Raw genomic sequence first — 19,650 nt, 5'->3', positions numbered from 1 at the left:
CAAGTAGTAACAGCCATTCAGTCACTGACTACATTAGAGTGTGTAATCTAGAATATTTTCAAAATGATTTTAGCTGCAAAATGCCTTGGGAGTCTTCAGGTTGAAAGGTATTACATCACTAGGAGCAATCATTAATATCAAATATTACCTTCAGACAAAAAGTGCTATCTGCAAACTTGGATGCTTATCAAAAAGTTACAGCAGCTCTTATGGAAAATGACTGATGGTAATCCGAGGATGACTTTTCCTTAGTGGGGCACAGGCCACGCTCTAGTGAAGAATAAAGCATTTCAGCTATACTTATTTTTTCTAATCCACAGATATGTCCCCAATTGCAGCTGATTTTTTTCTCTTTCTTGATCAAAAAGCACACCAACTTGGGGCCAACGCCAGTAAACACCCTTTCTATTTATATTTGAACTGCCCTGCATCTCCAGAGAGCTCTGATGCAGTCCAAGATCTTACTTGAAGCCCGAAGCCATTTCCTCAGAGTCTTTCTTACAAGACTCCAATGCCTCAGTGACTTTCTGCATCAGCAATTCCATCTCTGGGGCACGAAGATTGATTTTCTTTCTCCCTGCGAGTGAAAGTCCAGAATGTGTGCCCCCTGCATACTATCCTGAGAGACCGACAATACAACCACCAGATCAACTTGAAAAACTCATCGGGGGGGGCCCTCCAACCACCTCTGCGCTTCTCACTAGGTTAAGTGCTCCATATATCAATGAAGGCAAGACCCACTCACCCCAGTTCCCACCAGAGCTGCACACTGTGGTTATCTTTAGCTGAAGTTTTGTAACGCTCCTACATAGAAAATCTACACACAGCATCTCAGTGCATGCATGAACATTCAGGATGCAATCTTGAAACTGGGGCCTGAAAATCACATACATCTTGGTCCAGGGCTGAAGTAAAAATAAGGTGCTTTGCTTGATTGATTAGGAAATCATTAATGTGGTCATATATATGTGTGCTTTACACATATTTGGGGTCATTTTAAATGCTCAAACTGAGTTAACATATAAATGAGTTGCTTAAAAATAAGAGAATTTTTTATTTTGTTTTGTCTTGTATTTTAGAACTAGAAAAGTCCCCTTTTAAAGCAAGCTTGATAATTTCAGGAAAATATTTGAATTTTTAATTAAAACAGAGATCGGGAAAAGGCAACATTGATGAGTATCAACAATATATCTGTTTGTAATAGACTATTTTCTGTACTTTAAGAAAGTACTTTCTGTTTTATGCAAGAAAGATTGAGAACTAAGACAGGGTAGAGGAGGTAGGTGGGGAAATTCAGACATATAATCTGAACACACATGAAGTAGAGTAGCCAGGCTCCAAAATACGGACCTACAAACTTATTAAAGAGTGACGACATTACTTTCCCACATGCAAATTAATGTTGTTTATTGTTGGCAAGAATATGAGAGTCATAATATGGCACTCTTTCTGAGTTCTACATCTATATAAGCAAAATAAATAATAATGATAGGAACCCAAATTGGTCGAAAACTCAAGTTATTTTAATCACTATTAGACTGTAATCTTAGCTAGAAAGGGCATTTGTCATTTCCTCATTATCATTTGATTATTGAAAGTTTCTAGAAGAAAATTGCAAAAAACTTCACCTCATTCTTTGAAAAACATTAAGCAAACAAATATTGCCTTGAACCAAGGTATAAAAATTGGTGATTTAGCTTTTTTGACATAATCCATACAATAACTGAAATTTGATTACACTAGTATGATATTTCAAATTTGAAATTTAAAAATTTAAATTATTGCAGTGTGGTTTGTCTTTAAAACCATCATCTATAACACATATCTTTAGAAAAGTGACTGTTATATTTTCTGGTGTTACATTAATATTACTTGTGCTTTGTTTTATTTGCAAGTGATGTATTTTATTTGATATTTTGTTCTCCATACTATAATCACTTTAATACTTTCCGATACAAATTGATCTATAAGTTGCCAAATCAACATTCTTTATCATATCACACGTATAACATTCATTTAGATCTTGTTTATCGAGACATCTTTTACAAAATCCTGTACATTTTCAAAAGATCCTATTGAGATAAAATTCGAAGAAAGGATCCTTAAATGAAAGAGAGAACCTCTCCAATGTCTGAATATTTAAGCATCAAATTCCTATAAAAATGTATCATGGTTATATGAAAGCACATAGCCTTATAAAGACTAGGTACCCTTATCTTTTATCTCACATAATAAAAATAAATAAAAGACCAGAAGAGATTCACTGTCTCTCTACTACCCTCATTAGCAAACATCTGGCAAGCAAACTATCACGAGTAATATTATTTAACAACTTTTTTTTTTTGATGGTAGGGGGTGGTGGTGAAAGGGCAGATTGAAATGATATATGTCAAATATTAGTAGTCTTTTAAGAAGCCATCGCCCATGGCCCTTAACCCCTTACAGATGGCAAATAAGGTGCAGAGCAAACGAAATTAAGATGATAGTGTGTTGACAGGAGCAGGCAGATTCCAGCTTTCATCCCTACAGACAACAGGAATGACCACATCTTTTCAAACTGACACATTAATGAATTTAGCAACACCTGAACTTTTCTGGCAGGAGACACCTTTGACACCAGCAGGTTCTTTCGTGTCAGTAATAAAAGGATTCTGTATCATTCCCCGACTCCATATTTGATGGCAGAATTACCTTTTGGGCCCTAACAAGTTGACAGGGTTTCATTTTGCTTCCTCTTTTAATGACATCTTCTTTGCAGGTGAACTGGAGATGTAACGACTTCCTTTTTTGTCTTGGAAGATTCCTAAATGTCATTGAGAGACCCAAGACGTCTCAATCTCACTTAATGCAAACGGAAAACCAAGGGTTTTTAAAGGTGAAATGGATCTTGCTAATGAAGAAGTATCACTCTTCGTGGGGCATGCAGCTTGTTAGTTCAAGTTAGGTGAGTGTCACAGGTCAGGGTTCAAGCATGACGTGGGGTGTGACTAAAGATGTCATCTTTTATTTTTCCGGGTTTTGGAAAACATAATTGAATGGCTGGGCAACAAAAACGGAATCCTTTCTGCATTTGGGATCCAAAGAGAAAGCTAATGAGCTCTTGCCTTAAAAATGTGTGATGATGGGGTCCCAATTATGATAAAGTTTAAATATGTGAACTTTAAATATGTGAACAGTAAAACCACACTGTAAATACAGCCGCCTTATTCATGGGGACCAGAAACTGAAGTTTTTTGTTTATCTTAACTCCACAGTGATTTTATTTTTCCCACGAGTGTGACTCAGTAGTTACATAGTAATCCCTTTGTTTCATTTGCCTTCTTTTCCACAATAAAAAGGCAAGAAAAACAATACTTGTAGTTATCATTAACTTGCAAAATGGTCATGAAGCCCAAAGAAGGATGGGGAGACTCCTCTCAGACTTAAAAACTTGGCAACGTTAGAACTTCCTACACATTGAAATCATATAGAAATTCTCTATTTGCTGTCCTTTTTCCGATTTTACTTATCTGGCTGGTCACCATTTGGGGGAAATATAAGAAGGGAAAATCCAATTCACACAGTGACATAAAATCCATTGTGGGTGAATTAAGCCATAGCTCCCCAGCAAAACCAGACTTAAATGGGGAAGTGCTTGACCAGCACAGAGAGGGTTAAAGAGACACTGTCTCAGCTGTCAGCTCACGGTCACCATCAAATGACCAAGATATGCAGTAAATAATGTCCCATATTATTAAATGATAATATTTCCAACCAAGCTAAACTAATTAGCAGACTGTACTTGGCTTGTGACAGCATTTTGCCTTTCCCTTTTTTTTGCCTTAAAATCTATAATTGCAACAGGCAAAACTTTTCAGACCCAGCAGGTTCATTTGAGAAATGCAAGATCTAACCATTTTAAGAGAGGGCCATCCTAGCAAAGTAGCTCCTCCCTTTCTTTTTTTTCTAACTTTTCAAATCCATATAATTAGAAACAGGTTTACCCATCACCTTTATGAAACAAAAATTATTCATTAAAAGATGAGGATGGTTTCTCAATGGAAATAGTTATATGAACCATGGCCCCCATGCCATTTTAGGAAAAACACGCAATTACACTTGGTTATAACAGGTAAAATAATGACTTTTTCACCTGTCAATTGCTAGCTTAAAATTCCCACACATGTAGGCCATTTCTGTTTCATCTGCTCTTTGAATTTCAGCTGCTTTGCTTTTCAATGCCTCCGTTTCACTGGTGTCTCCTTTGTGTCTGAGACTCTCACACTGGGTTCTCCCTCTTTGGTGCTGGGCTTTCTTTTCACAGTGACATTTCAACATAAACAGTCAATATTCATTACCTCAAAGGAGACTTCCCTCCTATTGCTGACCAATTAAATACCAGCTGAGATAGGCAGACAAAGGTAAAAGGAGCTGTAACACAAGACAGGCTTAGAGCATAGTTTCTGCTTCCTTAAAGGAAGAAAAATTGTCATCAAAACAAAGAGAGCTGGGGATTTAGGGACTATCTCTATCCAAGAGACACAATTCCGCGGGATATTATGGTTCCCTATCTTTCATCTGGCACACTGCAGAGTGTGGGGGTTTTGTATTATTTTTGTTGTTGTTGTTTTTAATAATTCACTACCATGCATTTTTGAGGTTTCACTGAGAAGGACAATCAGCCCTTAATTAGTTCCTGACTGTAGATGGCCACATTGGCATAGGCTGTTTACTCAGATGCTGGTGGACCTGACCTTTATTTTCTTATTCTGCTGCCTAATTTGATTTAGCTTGATTTCTGTATTTCTCCACCACACAAGAGCAACTCAGGAGGCGCCACTTAGAACATCTGTTGAGACTGAGCCCTTTCTGCTGAACTCTCCACTGTATCGGGAATTGCTGGGAATGGCTGTGAGACTCAACTGAGTCCTCTGAACTGTGTATTCACTTCAGGGAAAAATATAAAAAGGGGTTCTCGTATATTTCCTTGAATCATTAAAGAGCTCAACTCCCTTCCCACCCCATCCGCCCCTCCCCCATACCCACACACTCTCCAGGATACACAGAAAAATGTAGGGCAGTAATGGAGCTGTTTTCTTAGGAAACTTGGATAGGGCTTTTGTTGTTGTTGTCGTTGTTTTAAATTCTGCAAATTTCAAACTATTTCTTTGTTTCTTTTTCAGAATTCTGGGCAGTAGGCGTGTGCCAAGCTGCAAGACTTTTTCTCCTCCTAAATGAATCGTGCAGTAAATTGGGCATTTGGATCTTTCCCTTGTGAAGCTATCTCACAAGTAAGCCACTTACTCCACCTTCACAGAACATTCCCCACTTCAGCAGCAAGGGATCACACAGGGTGCTGATTTTTACATTCAAAATGCACCCTGGATTTAAAGGGCTATAACCCAAACTCCAAACTGCTATCAGGACTTCTATCCACAAATTCCACATTTCCTTAAGGACTGATTTAGATAAAATTATCATGCAAACAGTGACCCTAAAGCAGAAGGTTACATATAAATAAAGCACACACACCCCATTCATTTTCATAAACTTACGTATGCATTCTAGCTTGGTCAGCAATTCTAAAAGCAATTACATTATTCCTAAAACAAACAAACAAAAATCATTCTAGACTGCAATCTCTACTCAACTTCCATTAGAAATAGAATTAAAATAGTGATCAATACTCGAAGCAATGCATAGTCCAAAATATGTGTGTCATATTAATTAGCTGTTTGAGAGAAGTGATATCCCAGTTTAATTTTCTGAGAGTCCCTCATGAATTATTTCTCTGCTTTGTCTTTTGAAAATGAGCGTGCAGTTAATACAAGATGGTAAACTTTTATTTATCCTGATGTCTTTTATAAAGAAAAAAAAACACTTTTGCTCATAGGAATTGTGGTCCCCTCCCCTCTATCCCAGTCCCTAAGCCAGATTAGGTGAATTTAATCATCAGAGAATTTTATTTTTCATTTGTGCTTCTAGCAGCTAGAGGGCACAAAAGAATGCTTTTACCTTGCCTTGTCTTTTTTTTTTTTTTCTTTTTAATCACTCACTGGAACTATATAGACTTAGAAATAAACAAAAATACTGGGGAGGTTGGTGGATTTCCTCGCACCTTCCTTCCTCAGATGTCAATTTTCATATTTTCATTCCAGCAGGGATACAAATTCCAAATGGCAGGAATATGTGAAAGTGTATAAGAACTTCATCTTCCTAAAATAAAGAATAAACCCCCAAAGAATGAGAGACTCAAAGTCAGGCAAAATTGGTCCAAGTTTGGTCCATTGTTACGTTTCTGAACTATTTCGTAAAGCTCTTTGTTCAAAAGCAATCTAAACACACATTTAACCTTTTTCATTCTAGCATCTTAAATATTAATGTTGGTTGTGATTCTGCATTAACAACATCTATTATTTTTGCACTAATAAGAGGCTTACAAGAATAAACATGAAAGGCTTGAAACAACCTTCCTGTCAATTAAGAAAGTCAGTAATACTTCAAGCGAACACTTTCTGCAGATCTCAGCAACTGCAGTCCATGTAGGAAATGCATGCTTCCAGCCACAAAAAAGGCTCCGATCCACGACTATAAGTTTTGCAAACCATCTCTCAAACACACTTATACCCACCCCCACCCCATCTTGTAAAGCTAGCTACTAATACTCAATAGTAAAAGGCATTCTTTTTGGACCATTTATTTGAAAGCATAATAGTTTGGCGTTTTTCTGCAAGAAACGCTAATAAACCTCAGGAGGAGTCACATCTGTTGCTGTAGTACAAAATGGGTTGGGCCTCAATAGCATAATATATATAAACACTTTTTCCCCCTAATGAACTGTACCACCCCCTTAGGCATAAATGAGTTGGATCTGGATTGAGTGCCATTTGCCAAATTGTAAATTGCCTACATTTATTTTGGGAGTGCACTAAACAGAGTGCTAATTGCCTTGTTTAGCACTTTCCTTTCTTTCATTTGCACTGGTGTAAAATCTTAGTAAATTAACTCAAGGCTTTTATTATGTAGGTAGCATTTGAACAACCAAGAATTAGTGAGGAGGCAGCATGAAAGGACTGATAAAAGAGGAGTTGGCTCTACCCATAATGCCATTTATATGTCCCTTGAATTAAAAGGATGGAATTAACTTTTAATCCTTGGGCTTTTTAAATAGCTGATGTTAACACAGAATGTATTACGCAGCCATTTTATTCAAATTTGCTCACTTAAAATGGGTAGAATGTTAACAACCATGATCGTATGGGGAAAGTGCAGCTAGCTGTATTCATATACACAAGTGTATATATTAAGATTCATTCCAAATAGCAATTTATGTAGTTGCAGTCAATTGCATAGTCAAGATTCCGGCTTATTGTCAAAGACAAAACACTCCAAAGTCATTAACATCCACTGCTGTGCAGTAGCCTATGTAAAATGAGTTGGGAGTCTCGTTGCCATTCTTAATGGACAGGTGTGTGTTTCAGAAAAGCCATTACCAGATTTAGCATAGCACAGAATGCATGCTGGTGGTTTGACTGCAGAGGATAGAGGCAAAATAGCCCCCAGGGCTGAAGGGCTTGTGCTCCTACAGGTGGCCTCCTGTGAGGGGATTGTCCAGGGAGCTGTGGAATCTCACAGATGCAGGGCTCCTGGGATAAACAAAGACTTTTCTATTCTCAGTGTGCTTGCTTCCACTCTTTTCATTAGGTTTTCCAGAACCTGTTGAAACCAGGGATAAACTCTCCATTTTTTCCTTTCAAAAGAAAAGAAAGTCTATTGCAAATGATGATTTAAATGGAAAGCAATAAATAAATCTATTGTCTTTGTTTTCTTTATACCTTTCTGTTTAAAAATCATAAAAGTTGTGTTTAGATAGAAGTCTGCCTACATGAAAAACCAAATGATAAAAAAGTACGCTTCAGTTCCTTCTTAACATTTGTATTAACCTCCCATCCACAGAGATCTGCAGGTAACTATGAAGAAACTAGAGAAGAGTCTTTACATGACGACAAACTCCTTGGCTTTTAGGAGGCTCTTCTAGGCCTTTATGTTGGAGCGTGTTAACTTTGGAAATGTTTTTCTGAAAAGGCAGAGTTCATGTTGTGGGGATAGCAGGGAACACATGTTTCCTAGTTCAAGATAAAGGCAATGGAAGAAAGTTTTGGGGTGGCGTCTGTATACAGAAGGGCAATCAGTATTTGCCATATTGAAGGTCATTGTTAATCCAAGTGGAAAGATAACTCAAGCCTTAACAATTTTGTCAGCAGAAAAGAAAGAGTATGTATTTGGCTTTAATATTCCCTAAAACCCAAATGGTCTCAAAGTAATTTCTTGATAGGTAATACATTCATGGTAAGAAGGACTTTGAAGTCAGGCAGACATATGTGGATCCCAGCCCGACCACTGAACTCTGATCTCTGGCAAGCGACTTCAGCTTTCTGGGTATCTGTTTCTTCATCTCTAAAATGGGAAGGTAATACAAATGCATACGTGCTATTGTGTGAATTATATGACAATGCATTTAAAGTGTCTAAAATGGAATATGCACTCAATAAATGTTAATCCACCCTCTGATCCTCTTTTTATCTTTGTTGACCTCTAATCCCACCTCTTCATTTAGGTAATGAAGAAAAATCCCTGCTTAGATATTAGAAGATACAGCAGCATAATTACTTTTGTTTTATTAATGCAGTGCTTAACAAAAAAGTACTCCCCTATATAGTATCTGAGGGAAGAATAAATTAATAAGAAAAAAATGTTAATCAATGTTTTAACATTTTAACTGGAATAATACTAATAAAGGAACGATGCGGTGGGAATATGAGTTGCCAATATTACTTAATATCAATCCCCCCTCCTTCCCACTCAGACTCAAAAGGAGCTGGCAGTTTTAACTATGTGTATAATTATAGAAGACATTTATTTTATATACATATGTATGTATAATATAATATATATTATACTAGCGGCTTTGTGATGAAACATGTTTGTGAAATTTCCAGAACAGAATGACCTGGATTCCTACACACTTCTCTGGATGCTATGAGGTCTAGCTATCACTCAACAGCAAACTGTGGTTTTATATAAGTTTTTCATGAAATAAGATAGGATTTAATGTATTTCCAAAACTAATTTATTTGCCAGGAAAACAAAATGATGGCACAAGGACAAAACTTTAGCTGATTTCCCATTTAAATAGATAGCATATTGACACATGAAGGCTGGAGACAAACCAGATAGGAGAAGGCTGAGAGAGGATATTTCAACTTATGTGATTTATTTTAGGTTCTTCATAATATAAAGTGTTTTCTAATTCAGGGTGATTGCCATTTTTAATAAGAAGACTTAATGGTAGTTCTACAAAATAATAGTCCCATGCGAAATAATGCAGGCTTCTCTTAAGTCATATGAGAATGCATTTATTGACTAATCCTTGATTAGTGCTAAACTGTGCTGAAGATTGGTCTTTAGGTTCCCCCCCAAGGAACTGATTCTGTAGTTATCAATGTGAACACTTAACACTAACAGGAGCCTTGGCCAACCAACTCAGAAAGGGGGCATTTGGTTTTCTATGAGTCCTTCACCGAGGGCAGAAGCAAAATGCTAGTCATTTATTCTTTAATTAAAGAAATGGAGAGTCTGATTAATGAGAGATGTTTCTACCATGTTCTTCCAATGTGTTTTTCTTTCTTAAACCCTTAGGCAAATTGTCTAGAACTTAATCTTTCATGCTTCAAATTATTCCTTGAACAAACCCATAATTTGTAGGGGTTTGCATTTTAGCCTGTAAAAGAGGTGAGGGTACTTCTGATTCTCCACTTCCTAGTTTTTCTCTCCACTCATTTCTTTGATCTCATCTGTGACATTTTAATCTACTATCAGGTACTGGTAAAAAGGAGCTTTAATGGAAACTATTCAAATAGATGAGCCTGGGTTCTTTTGTTTAAAGAAAAATGTGCTCTTTGTGGGTTATTTGCCCATTATATTGAATGTTATGATCCCTGGGATCCCTTCTTTTTGTTTTTTGATATCCATAACTCTCGTGGCTTGCAATCCACTTCCATCTTGAATAAACTTGCCAAATGTTCAATGAGTGTGTAATTTTGGCAATAATGAAATTGAGTACAAAAGTGTTGTGCATGACTTTTCACAATTATGCCACCTTTCTTATGAAAGATGCCACCAGTTTATCAATAAAATCTTAGTGTAAGGTTGCAGTTACCTAGTATTTATGCAATTTGTAATGGCCTAGGCTGTGTGTGTAATACAGTGTTAGTTTTCATTCATTGGAAGCATTCTGGCCATGAAACCTTAGCAGGACAGTACTTGCTAATCCAGAGTAAAGCCTGAAGGAGAGAAACAGAAAGCCTCATCCATTACATTCTCAGCCACCATCATGAGATCAAAACCAAATATACTCTAGATAGATGATTCATTGGGCTAGTCATGAAACATAAAGCCTCTCACAATCCCAGATGTTTTCTGAGACATATCTAACCGTGCGCATAGTAGAAGAGAGGCCTATCCTGCAAGCTTGATTAAATACTAAGTCAATTGTGCCAAGAAACTAATGTCTAGAGACTGGAGGATGCTAGCAGTTTTGGTAGCATTGTTTCTAATAATAAGACGAAGAGGTCTGGCACATGCTTATTTCTATCTGCATATAATATACTGCCCATTCTAACTACTATGCATGAAAGATCTGTACATGTGTCTTCAAAACCTTAACAATATTTTCCTTTCTATTCTAGGAACCGGAGCTAAAAATACTCAGGTGATTTTTAAAATAGAATTTATAGAAGTTCTTTAACTGAACTTGTTGCTTTAAAAAAGTTTGCTCTGTTCTTCTAGCAGGAGTTTACTTAAGAAAACAATCTTAAATGAGAGGAAGCCTTAAAAATGATTTAATTGCATCTTTTCTTATTAGTATTATTTTGTATTAAATAAAACATTTGCTATAACCCAAATGTTCAACTCAGAAGACAAAGTGTCATGCAACCCAAATAAAAATTATGTTTATGGCCAGGCGCGGTGGCTCACGCCTGTAATCCCAGCACTTTGGGAGGCCGAGGAGGGCAGATCACGAGGTCAGGAGATCGAGACCATCCTGGCTAACATAGTGAAACCCCATCTCTACTAAAAATACAAAAAAAATTTAGCCGGTCATGGTGGCGGGCGATGTAGTCCCAGTTACTCGGGAGGCTGAGGAAAGAGAATAGCGTGAATCCAGGAGGCGGAGCTTGCAGTGAGCCGAGATAGAGCCACTGTACCACTCGAGCCTGGGTGACAGAGCAAGACTCCGTCTCAAAAAAAAAAAAGAAGAAGAAGAAAAGTATGTTTATAAAGATTCCAGTCACATGCAATGATATTGCCTGAGGAAAAACATAACGTAATCCAATTTATGTATTATGACATTATCTTGACTCTATAAGGAAGAAAAATGCAAACATAATCAGAAGGAAATGGACTGGGCCACACAAGATCACGTTGTTTGAGCAGGAAGCTAAGATTGTGTGAATTTTGTCTACTTTTAATGTACTTTCCTCCATCATGTTTTTATAATTTTATGAAAATAGTAAATAAATGAAGGAAAAAAGTATTTTTCACAATGGTTGCTCACAACCATTTATTTGTGGAGATGGGAGCACAGTTAATGATCTAAGAATGAAACACCCTATATGTCCACCTGTCCTCACCCCTCACCTCTTTGTATGTCCAAGATAACACCAAAATCAATGAACCAAAGGAACAATAGCCTTGGAACCTAACAATGGGCTCCTTTTCTGAATGAGAAACAAGCTGGGGATATCTTCATTTGTTGGCTTCCTTTTCTAGGGAATAGTATGAATGATTATATTTTAGACTTGCAGAATTCCTTGTTCTCATATTTCATTTGGAAGGTAAAAAAATAGAAATTCTAGTTCTACTTCCTACTTGCTTGCAAGCTTTCAGTTTGCAGAGCTCTTTGCTGCTGACATTCCCATGATCTCTCCCACCTTCTAGAGTGCACACCCTCCCACACCCACTCACACAGAATCATCTGGATATTTGGGTGTGCAATCAGCAATTTAGCTTTTCCTTTAATAGCATACAGATGGTTCTTGGTGTTTTTAAACAAACTTCTCAAACAATATTGGTGTTGCAAGAATGACTTCATTCCCAACTCTCTGACTTCATCCTAATCCATTCTCCAAGCAAGTAAGCTAAGATTCAGTGTGATTAAGCCACTTTCTGAAGATCACAAATCAGCCATGGAGTCCAGGCCAGAATAAACTCCAATGATGTTTCCGTTAAGAGATACTAGTTATTTTTAATCTACGTGGGTAGAGAGATTCTCCTCTAAGTCATAAGTCTCAACGATGCACAATTAATGAAGATTAGATAGTATGTTCATTGGCTGAACTTTGAGGTGTTAGAGTTCTCTGCCCACCATTCTGAAGAAAATTAAGCTTATTTGAAGGATACGTGGTCTCTATTAGTAAAGAGTTAAGCACAGCTTATGAAAGTAATGACATTGTCATTTGTCCCCTTGGTTCATTCTAAGGACTGCTTTTCTGTTGTTGTTTTTCTTCTCCTCCAATTGAAAGATTAACCTGGTCCCAATTGAAATGGCAGTCCATATCATACCTTTCCTTGATCTCTCAGCATGGCTAATAACAGCTGGGGCCTGCCGAGCAAGCGTCTTTATTTTTTCTTTATTGTTCCAGACTACAAACCCGTGAACCTTCAGCATGTTATGTACTTAACCATGGTCAGGTTGATGGCATTATTTTCTGATTGTCCGGGAGCTCCTGGGGTACTGGCCCATACTGACAGAGAAAGGCTGCCATGCTCTTTGTAGGGTAACCTCTGAAAAAGAAGCCCCTCAACCACCTGCATGTTTAGCCTGGAGCTGTGACATTGCACTAGGCCGATTGGTACGCTTCAAAACACGCATTAGCACCACTGGTGCTAGTGCATCTTGCTTGTTAATTTTCACTTGGGCCTGTTAGATAAACCTTCTCTGGGCCACAAGTAAATGCTTGACACAGCAGATTTTTAAAGATCTTTGCAAGAAGATCTGGTATGTCTGGGTCACTGTGTGCTTTGTCTAAATCTAAGCACAGCTATTTGTTAGTCTCCCCTGCCCTCTTTTAGCATTTTTTTTTTCCCTGTTGCCTGTCCACATGTCTAACTAACTAGCCAGACTAGTCTACAGCAGAGAAAACCAGGGACATGAGCACAGAATGGCAGGAAGAGTGGAGCAAAGTGCTTCTCTGCGTGAACCATCTCCACACTTAGCTTTTACAATCCTATAAAAATTGGTCTACTTGTTATCAGTTCAGACTGGAAAGCAAGCAACAGCCCTCCGTTGCCTCGGGCTTTGATGTAAGCACCCCTGACTATTTCTGTTTAAACTCTAGCGGATGGAAGACACCTATAAAGATATTAATTAGCTCCAGTTGTCACCAGATGTGGTTCACATTCTCTGAGCCAGCTCTGAAATACTGGAATTTTTATTAGGCAAGGTAATGTTTATGGCTCTCATTAAAATCTGAGTCATAAAAGACTGAAGAGGAGATTGGTGGGAAGTGGGGGAGAGAATAGTTTCCTCTTTGTTTATTAACTTTCAAAAATCCAAAAGTCCTGTGTTTCAGACTTGAGTGGCATGTTAACTTTGTGGGATTTGGCAAGATTCTTCTAAGTGTTTACATTTTGAGGAAACCTTTTGAGTTGTACTACATAAAATGACTGGTTTGTGTCAGAATGATGTTACATTTACATGCTTAATTATAATAATGTCAGCCATGGAGCACTGCACCATGCAAAAAAAAATCAGTACTAATTGTTATTGGACTGGATACTAACTTATGGGATATATTATGACAACAGAAGGAATTTATTGTTTATTCAAAATGGGCGAACAGCACTTCATAACTGTCAGGGTGGGGTGGCAGTGAAAGAGAAACAAAAATCCAAAAATACCTTCTGAACACTTTCTTTCAATGCCTTCCTCCCTGTCAAGTTACTGCCATGCCTTTATGACTCTTAAGAAATACTTCAGCTAATTTTTCTCTTGGATAAAAGAAATAGCAATAGCTAAAACCTGCTCAGGTCTACGAACTTATTTAGAAAAAAAAAATCTTAATTTGAGAAAGATTTGAAGGCCAAAATAGCTGCTCAGGTTCCTTCAAAAGCTTCCCTGACCTCCTTCTGAAGCTACTCTCCCATCAAACCTACAGGCATAATAAGGCCCGCAGAATATTTCTGACGACCCACATCATAATCTGCGGTCCGGGGTCTGCAAACGGAATATACCTTCAGCTTGAAGTCCTCTGATGACTACATCAATGCATTCGATTTACAGTTTCATAAGATCTTTGGAGATTTTAAATGATATTCAGAAATATGCTTATGCATTTTTAAAAGATTCTTTTTTCCCATCTGAACTCTTTTAACAAAGGTATTTCACTAAGTACAACAGCTGTCCAATTTTTTCCAACCTTTTGCTTCCTTCTAAAACACAGTCATTTTGTTAGACATTGAAAATGTCTTGATTTAGTTGTCTTGCTATTTTGGGCCTGTCCTGCCCCCTGCAGTGGTAATAAGGATGGGGGTTCCTGCTGGGCCCTGAAGAATACCATTTCACGGCCGCCACAGAGCTGGCGGCTTTTATTTATGGAGCCAAGAAAATGAATGGGTATTAGTGTCCAAACATTTCAACATGCTCCCGCGGCCATGCACAAAAGGGACTGATTTGCAGCAAATTTCCACTTATTTTCCAAAAGTATTTACCTTGCCGAAGCTTGGCTGATCACTATAATAGCAGAGCCGAGGGGGAAAAAAATGACCATTTCAGAACCCAATTCATATATATATATGTGTGTGTGTGTGTGTGTATATATATATATATATATATATATATATATATATATATATATATATGTATATCTGAACCTTAATCGTGTTCTACTTCTTCTGAATAAAGATAATACCTTTGGTTGCTAGGCTTTTATGGATATGTGGATAACTCTAAGGTGCTGGGGTTTGTAGTTCTCACTGTTGTTTTAAACAAGAAAAGAACTAGCACAAACAAAGAGTTCACATCAGTGGATTTAGGCTACACATAAGACAGCATGCTGCCAGTGCCCAGGTCATCTTTGTACACTCCCAAAGAGTAAGGCCAGCATTTTAATGCCTAAAATTTGGGCCAGGGATTGAGGGCTAATGCGTTCTATAGCTGTGCTTACTATTTTAGACGGCAGGCAAATGGATTCGTGGGCAACTCTGAAATGCTATGCAATTACTTTATCTTTTTTCATTGTGCAGTTCACTCAGTCAACAAATATTAATTGAGTACCTACTATGTCTCAGGCATTTGAAATCTGCCTCAGAAAGATGTTAAAAATTGCTTTAAATGTGGCTTCCTGGGGTCTTTGCTCAGGAAGTCAATGTCTTTTGTCCAGACAGACATCTCAGAGACCTCCCCACTTCTCCATCCATTCTCCAGCTCTGTCTCTGAACAGGACCACTCCTCATTCTTTAATTATTGAATTGCTTGTTGACTCCCGAACCTTGGTTCACTCTTCTTAGGATATAAGAAAATCCTTTGCTCTCAATCTACAAACCAAAGTTCCTGCTCCTCAAATTCCAGCCAAAACAATTTATGACCAGTCCTCAAATCCCTAAGATATGAAGTCCCATTTATTAGAACTCCTTTAACATGTTTTGCTACTTCTGTGCCTTTATGCGTGCATGGACTAGTGGATAATAAACCATCAGGAATGAACTGATGCCAATTCACATTCCTCAAGACTTGCATGCACTTTGCACCTAGTAAGTGCTTTCTGAAAGGTGAGGGGACAAACCATGCTGAAAAAAATGAGCTACCATCATCTCATATATTCCATTGTCTTTTTTTCCTTTTTAAAAAATATTCTGAAACTCCAAATCCTGTATGACACTGTCCCACTCCATAAGAAACAAGATTTACAAGTACAAAAAGATGTGTAGAATTTCTCTTCCTGTTCATTCAAAACCTATGTGTGCTTTTCTAACATTTACATTAATTATACCATGGCTGTAAATCTCCTAGTCTCTCTTCACCAACGTTACCATTTTATTGCACAGATTTCTATTCAGAACAGTATGACAATCTCAAATTACTTACAGAAATCTAGCCATAAACTGCTAAAACTTTGTTCACTATATAGAATGTTATTATAGTGTGGGAAACATGAAATAAATGATAGAAACAAACCAGTAATTATTTCATCCTGGACCCATTAACTACCAGCTGTAGGACTTTGAGCTGGTTACTTAGTTCTCTATGCCTCAGTTTTTCTCATCTGTAAAACTGGACTAATCATAGCTACCTCATTAAGTTACTGTGTAGATACAGCAAGTTAATAAGTAAAGCACTTAGAACATGGAACCGGCTCAACAAATGTTGATGTTTAGTTCATATTCTGGAACATATGGCTTTAATTTACAATAGACATTTCCAGTTTCACTTGCAGTCCTTGAGTAAGAGATAATAAAAGTCTCTCAGGTGTATCTTCTCCAATCAAAGCCATTTCAACACAGGCTACTGCACTGCCTTTCCACACAAGTTTATTTTTGGAAGAACTTCTTCCAGCAAATTTCATCATGTAGGCTTCTAATTCCCTGGGCTCAAGGGGTTTCCAGTCCCGGGTCACTGCTTGGGCCGCTCCCACTGCATCCAGTTCTGCATCATAAGCTACTCCACTGCCAAAAGTCCTTTTACCTTTAGATTGCCAAACGGGTGCTCTGTAGACCAGCCAATCAATGGCTGTTTCAGCCAAGCTTTTTCCTGAGCCATATGGTTCTCTTAGGCATCTGTGTTGGCTTCTGCTGTCTTTCATAAAGAGAAGCATCCATCCTCTATGGGTTTATTTCATGGCCAGAGTTCCAAAGAGTTTTTGTTTTTGTTTTTTTCTAGAAGGACAGATAAGTTATTCTGGTTTAACTCTGCCATTGACCGGTGTCATTACACCACTTACTTCCCATTTTTGGGCCTCGACTATCTCATATGTAAAATAAAATTATTGACTGAGAGGATTATATCCAGGGAGTTATCTACATCTACATTTTCTGAGCTTCAGAATTCATCTTTAGGGAGAAAATAAAAACCTCAACCTCAGAGAAACCTCTCTCTAGATTTTCATGAATGAAGCTGGACATATTTGTGATGGAGAGCTCCCATGCTAACTGTCAGCATCTTGGTGTTGGGCAGACTGCCTTGTTGTCTTTCACAGTGTTGGCTTGGTGGGGGCACAACTGATCGATCAAGCATCAAGGTCCAGAATGTCAATTATCGTGATGTCTTCTCCTTTCTCAGATGAAGCAGCATCTCAGAAGCATCCCTGAACATAGCCAAACAAGAAACCTACATACAACTTTCATGTCACAGCAAATGAAGCTAGGAACATAACAATGAATCAGACACAGTTTACCCCTCAATAAGTCCATAGTCCAATAACAGAATTCCGTGTAGAAATAAACAATTTCACTATAGATTGATAAGTATGAAACTATGTGTGGGCATTTGAACATATTTACCTAGCATATGTTGGAAGGGGGATGCAAGAGTAGGAGACGGGGAGAAAGAAGAACAAAGTATAAATGTGAGCATGGTTCCTTTGGGAAATGCTGGGAGAAGCAAAATTAAGCATGTTTTTGTTTGTTTGTTTGTTTTGTTGTTGTTGTTGTTTTTGAGACGGAGTCTCACTCTGTCGCCCAGGCTGGACTGCAGTGGCGCGATATTGGCTCACTGCAACCTCCGCCTCCTGGGTTCAAGTGATTCTCCTGCCTCAGCCTCCTGAGTAGCTAGGATTATAGTAGGCGCCCACCACCACACCCAGCTGATTTTTGTATTTCTAGCAGAGATGGGGTTTCACCATGTTGGCCAGGCTGTTCTTGAACTCCCGACCTCAGGTGATCCACCCGCCTCGACCTCCCAAAGTGCTAGGATGACAGATGTGAGCCACTGCACCCGGCCACCATGTTTTCTTATTTTAGGACTTCTCAGGGCCTTGAAATTGTGACTATGTATTGTGAATTTTTAAAAGCGTATTTGCAAAAAATAAAAATAAAGCTATCTATTTGCCTTTTTGTTTTTCAGGTTTGACTGTTGACATCTTGGGAAACAGTATCCTACTGGATATGGTTGGAGACACCCTGCTTTGGAGAGATGATGATGAGTATGAATATAGTAAATAAGTCATAGATAGACAGTCCGATGGAATATAGTAAATAAGTCATAGATAGACAGTCCGATGTCACGCGCTGACACTTTTAATAATAGTGCCCTCCTCTAGGGCTACTGTGAAGCCTAAATGAGCTAAGTAATATAAAGTACTTACACCAGTGTTTGGCATATACAAATATTTAATAAACTTTGTCATTGCATCATCATTATTATTAGAACAGAGTGGAGACTCACCCGTTCTACTGGCAACTGGAGTTTGTTCAAGAAATACCTGAGTTGGTTCTTTAACTGTCGAGTTCGATTGTCCAAGTGGAAGGGTGGGAGTCTCAGGGGAGAGCATGCCAGGCAGAAGAAACAGCACAAGCAGACATCCGGGGACATGAACCAGCAGTAAAGCAGGGGTCCATACATTTAGATAGAGTATGAGTAGATCAATGCTCAAAAACTATCCTAAAACTAAAAGAAGATTGGAATATCAATCATACACCACACACCTCCTTGCAGCTCCTTTACAAAAGTCCCTGGGGAACAAGTTGCTTCAGTTCATGGCATCAATACCCAAGGCTCATTATTAAATACTATTGTAGTGATGCTTCAAATTAAATCTAGATATTATTCACTGCCACATCTCTTCCCAAACTTATTATTTCCAGGAAAACTCTTAAGCAACAAATTCAGTGAATTGGTACAACCACCATGTTTACTGACACTTTCTAGAAGCTCTACCTTCTCAAATGTTCTTACCGATATGACATTTTTAGTATAAAATACCAACACTTAAGGCAAAGGAAATTCCTACTGTTTGTGATATGTTACAAATTTGCTAGTAATGTGTATATTACACCAAAATCACTCTGATGATTACACAAAAATACACACCAAGCTGGTTCTTTTCGATACAGTGTTGTTTCTGAAGAAGTAGTCGAAACCTAGGTCCTATTTTTCAATATGTATTTGTGAGACCAGGCTGCCTTCATGTTGTTCAGCTTCTTTTACTTTGTAGTTGTTCATGTATTTTGCTGAATTCAAAATTTACAGAAATTTCAGAATTACATTTTGCTTTCTCCTTCTCCCTCCCTGTCTACTCTCCCCGATCTCCTCATGCCTTCTGTACCCACCTATCTCCATTCTGAATTGACAGAAGGTGACCAGGGAGACAGAGATATGCATGTTTACATTTCTCTGCATTCAATATTGATTTTGAGTTAGATCTCATTAGGGAGAAAGGGAGAGAGAAAGAGAATAACTTTAATAGGTCATCTGCATCTCAACAAATAAAAGTAATAATTATTAAATACATTGCACTTACTGAGCTGTTACCACATGCCAGACACTTGATCACACCCTGCACATAGATTAGCCTCTGCAACCCTGCTAGTGAGGTGATCCCACTTTACAGATTATGAAAGTGAGGCTCCTCAATGCTGATTTAATTGTCAGATTCACAAAGCTAGTGAGTGATG

At 38.0% G+C, this 19,650-nt stretch overlaps 1 long non-coding RNA gene across 2 annotated transcripts, besides 1 other annotated feature; it reads left to right on the top strand.

Moving 5' to 3' along the window:
- The first annotated feature begins 320 nt into the window (after nucleotides 1-320).
- Nucleotides 321-18,393, top strand: LOC105371002 (uncharacterized). 2 transcript variants are annotated; one of them, XR_007064803.1, is made up of 3 exons: nucleotides 321-2,944; nucleotides 5,163-5,270; nucleotides 8,315-8,445. It is a non-coding gene; the product is annotated as an uncharacterized LOC105371002 (long non-coding RNA). The 2 variants fall into 2 exon arrangements; XR_001751745.2 differs by lacking the exon at nucleotides 8,315-8,445 and adding an exon at nucleotides 18,101-18,393 and having other exon boundaries at nucleotides 2,813-2,944.
- Nucleotides 3,985-4,595: an enhancer, noted in NCBI's record as "NANOG hESC enhancer chr15:97246263-97246873 (GRCh37/hg19 assembly coordinates)". NCBI's record gives its function as "activates a minimal SCP1, AML or CMV promoter by ChIP-STARR-seq in naive H9 embryonic stem cells {active_cell/tissue: H9 hESC(naive)}" and the evidence as "EXISTENCE:reporter gene assay evidence [ECO:0000049][PMID:30033119]".
- Nucleotides 18,394-19,650: the final 1,257 nt, after the last annotated feature.

This window comes from Homo sapiens, chromosome 15, assembly GCF_000001405.40.
Source record: "Homo sapiens chromosome 15, GRCh38.p14 Primary Assembly".
Classification (NCBI taxonomy): Eukaryota; Metazoa; Chordata; class Mammalia; order Primates; family Hominidae; genus Homo; species Homo sapiens.
Note: the sequence above shows the minus strand (reverse complement) of the source record. Positions and strands in the feature narration are given on the sequence as shown.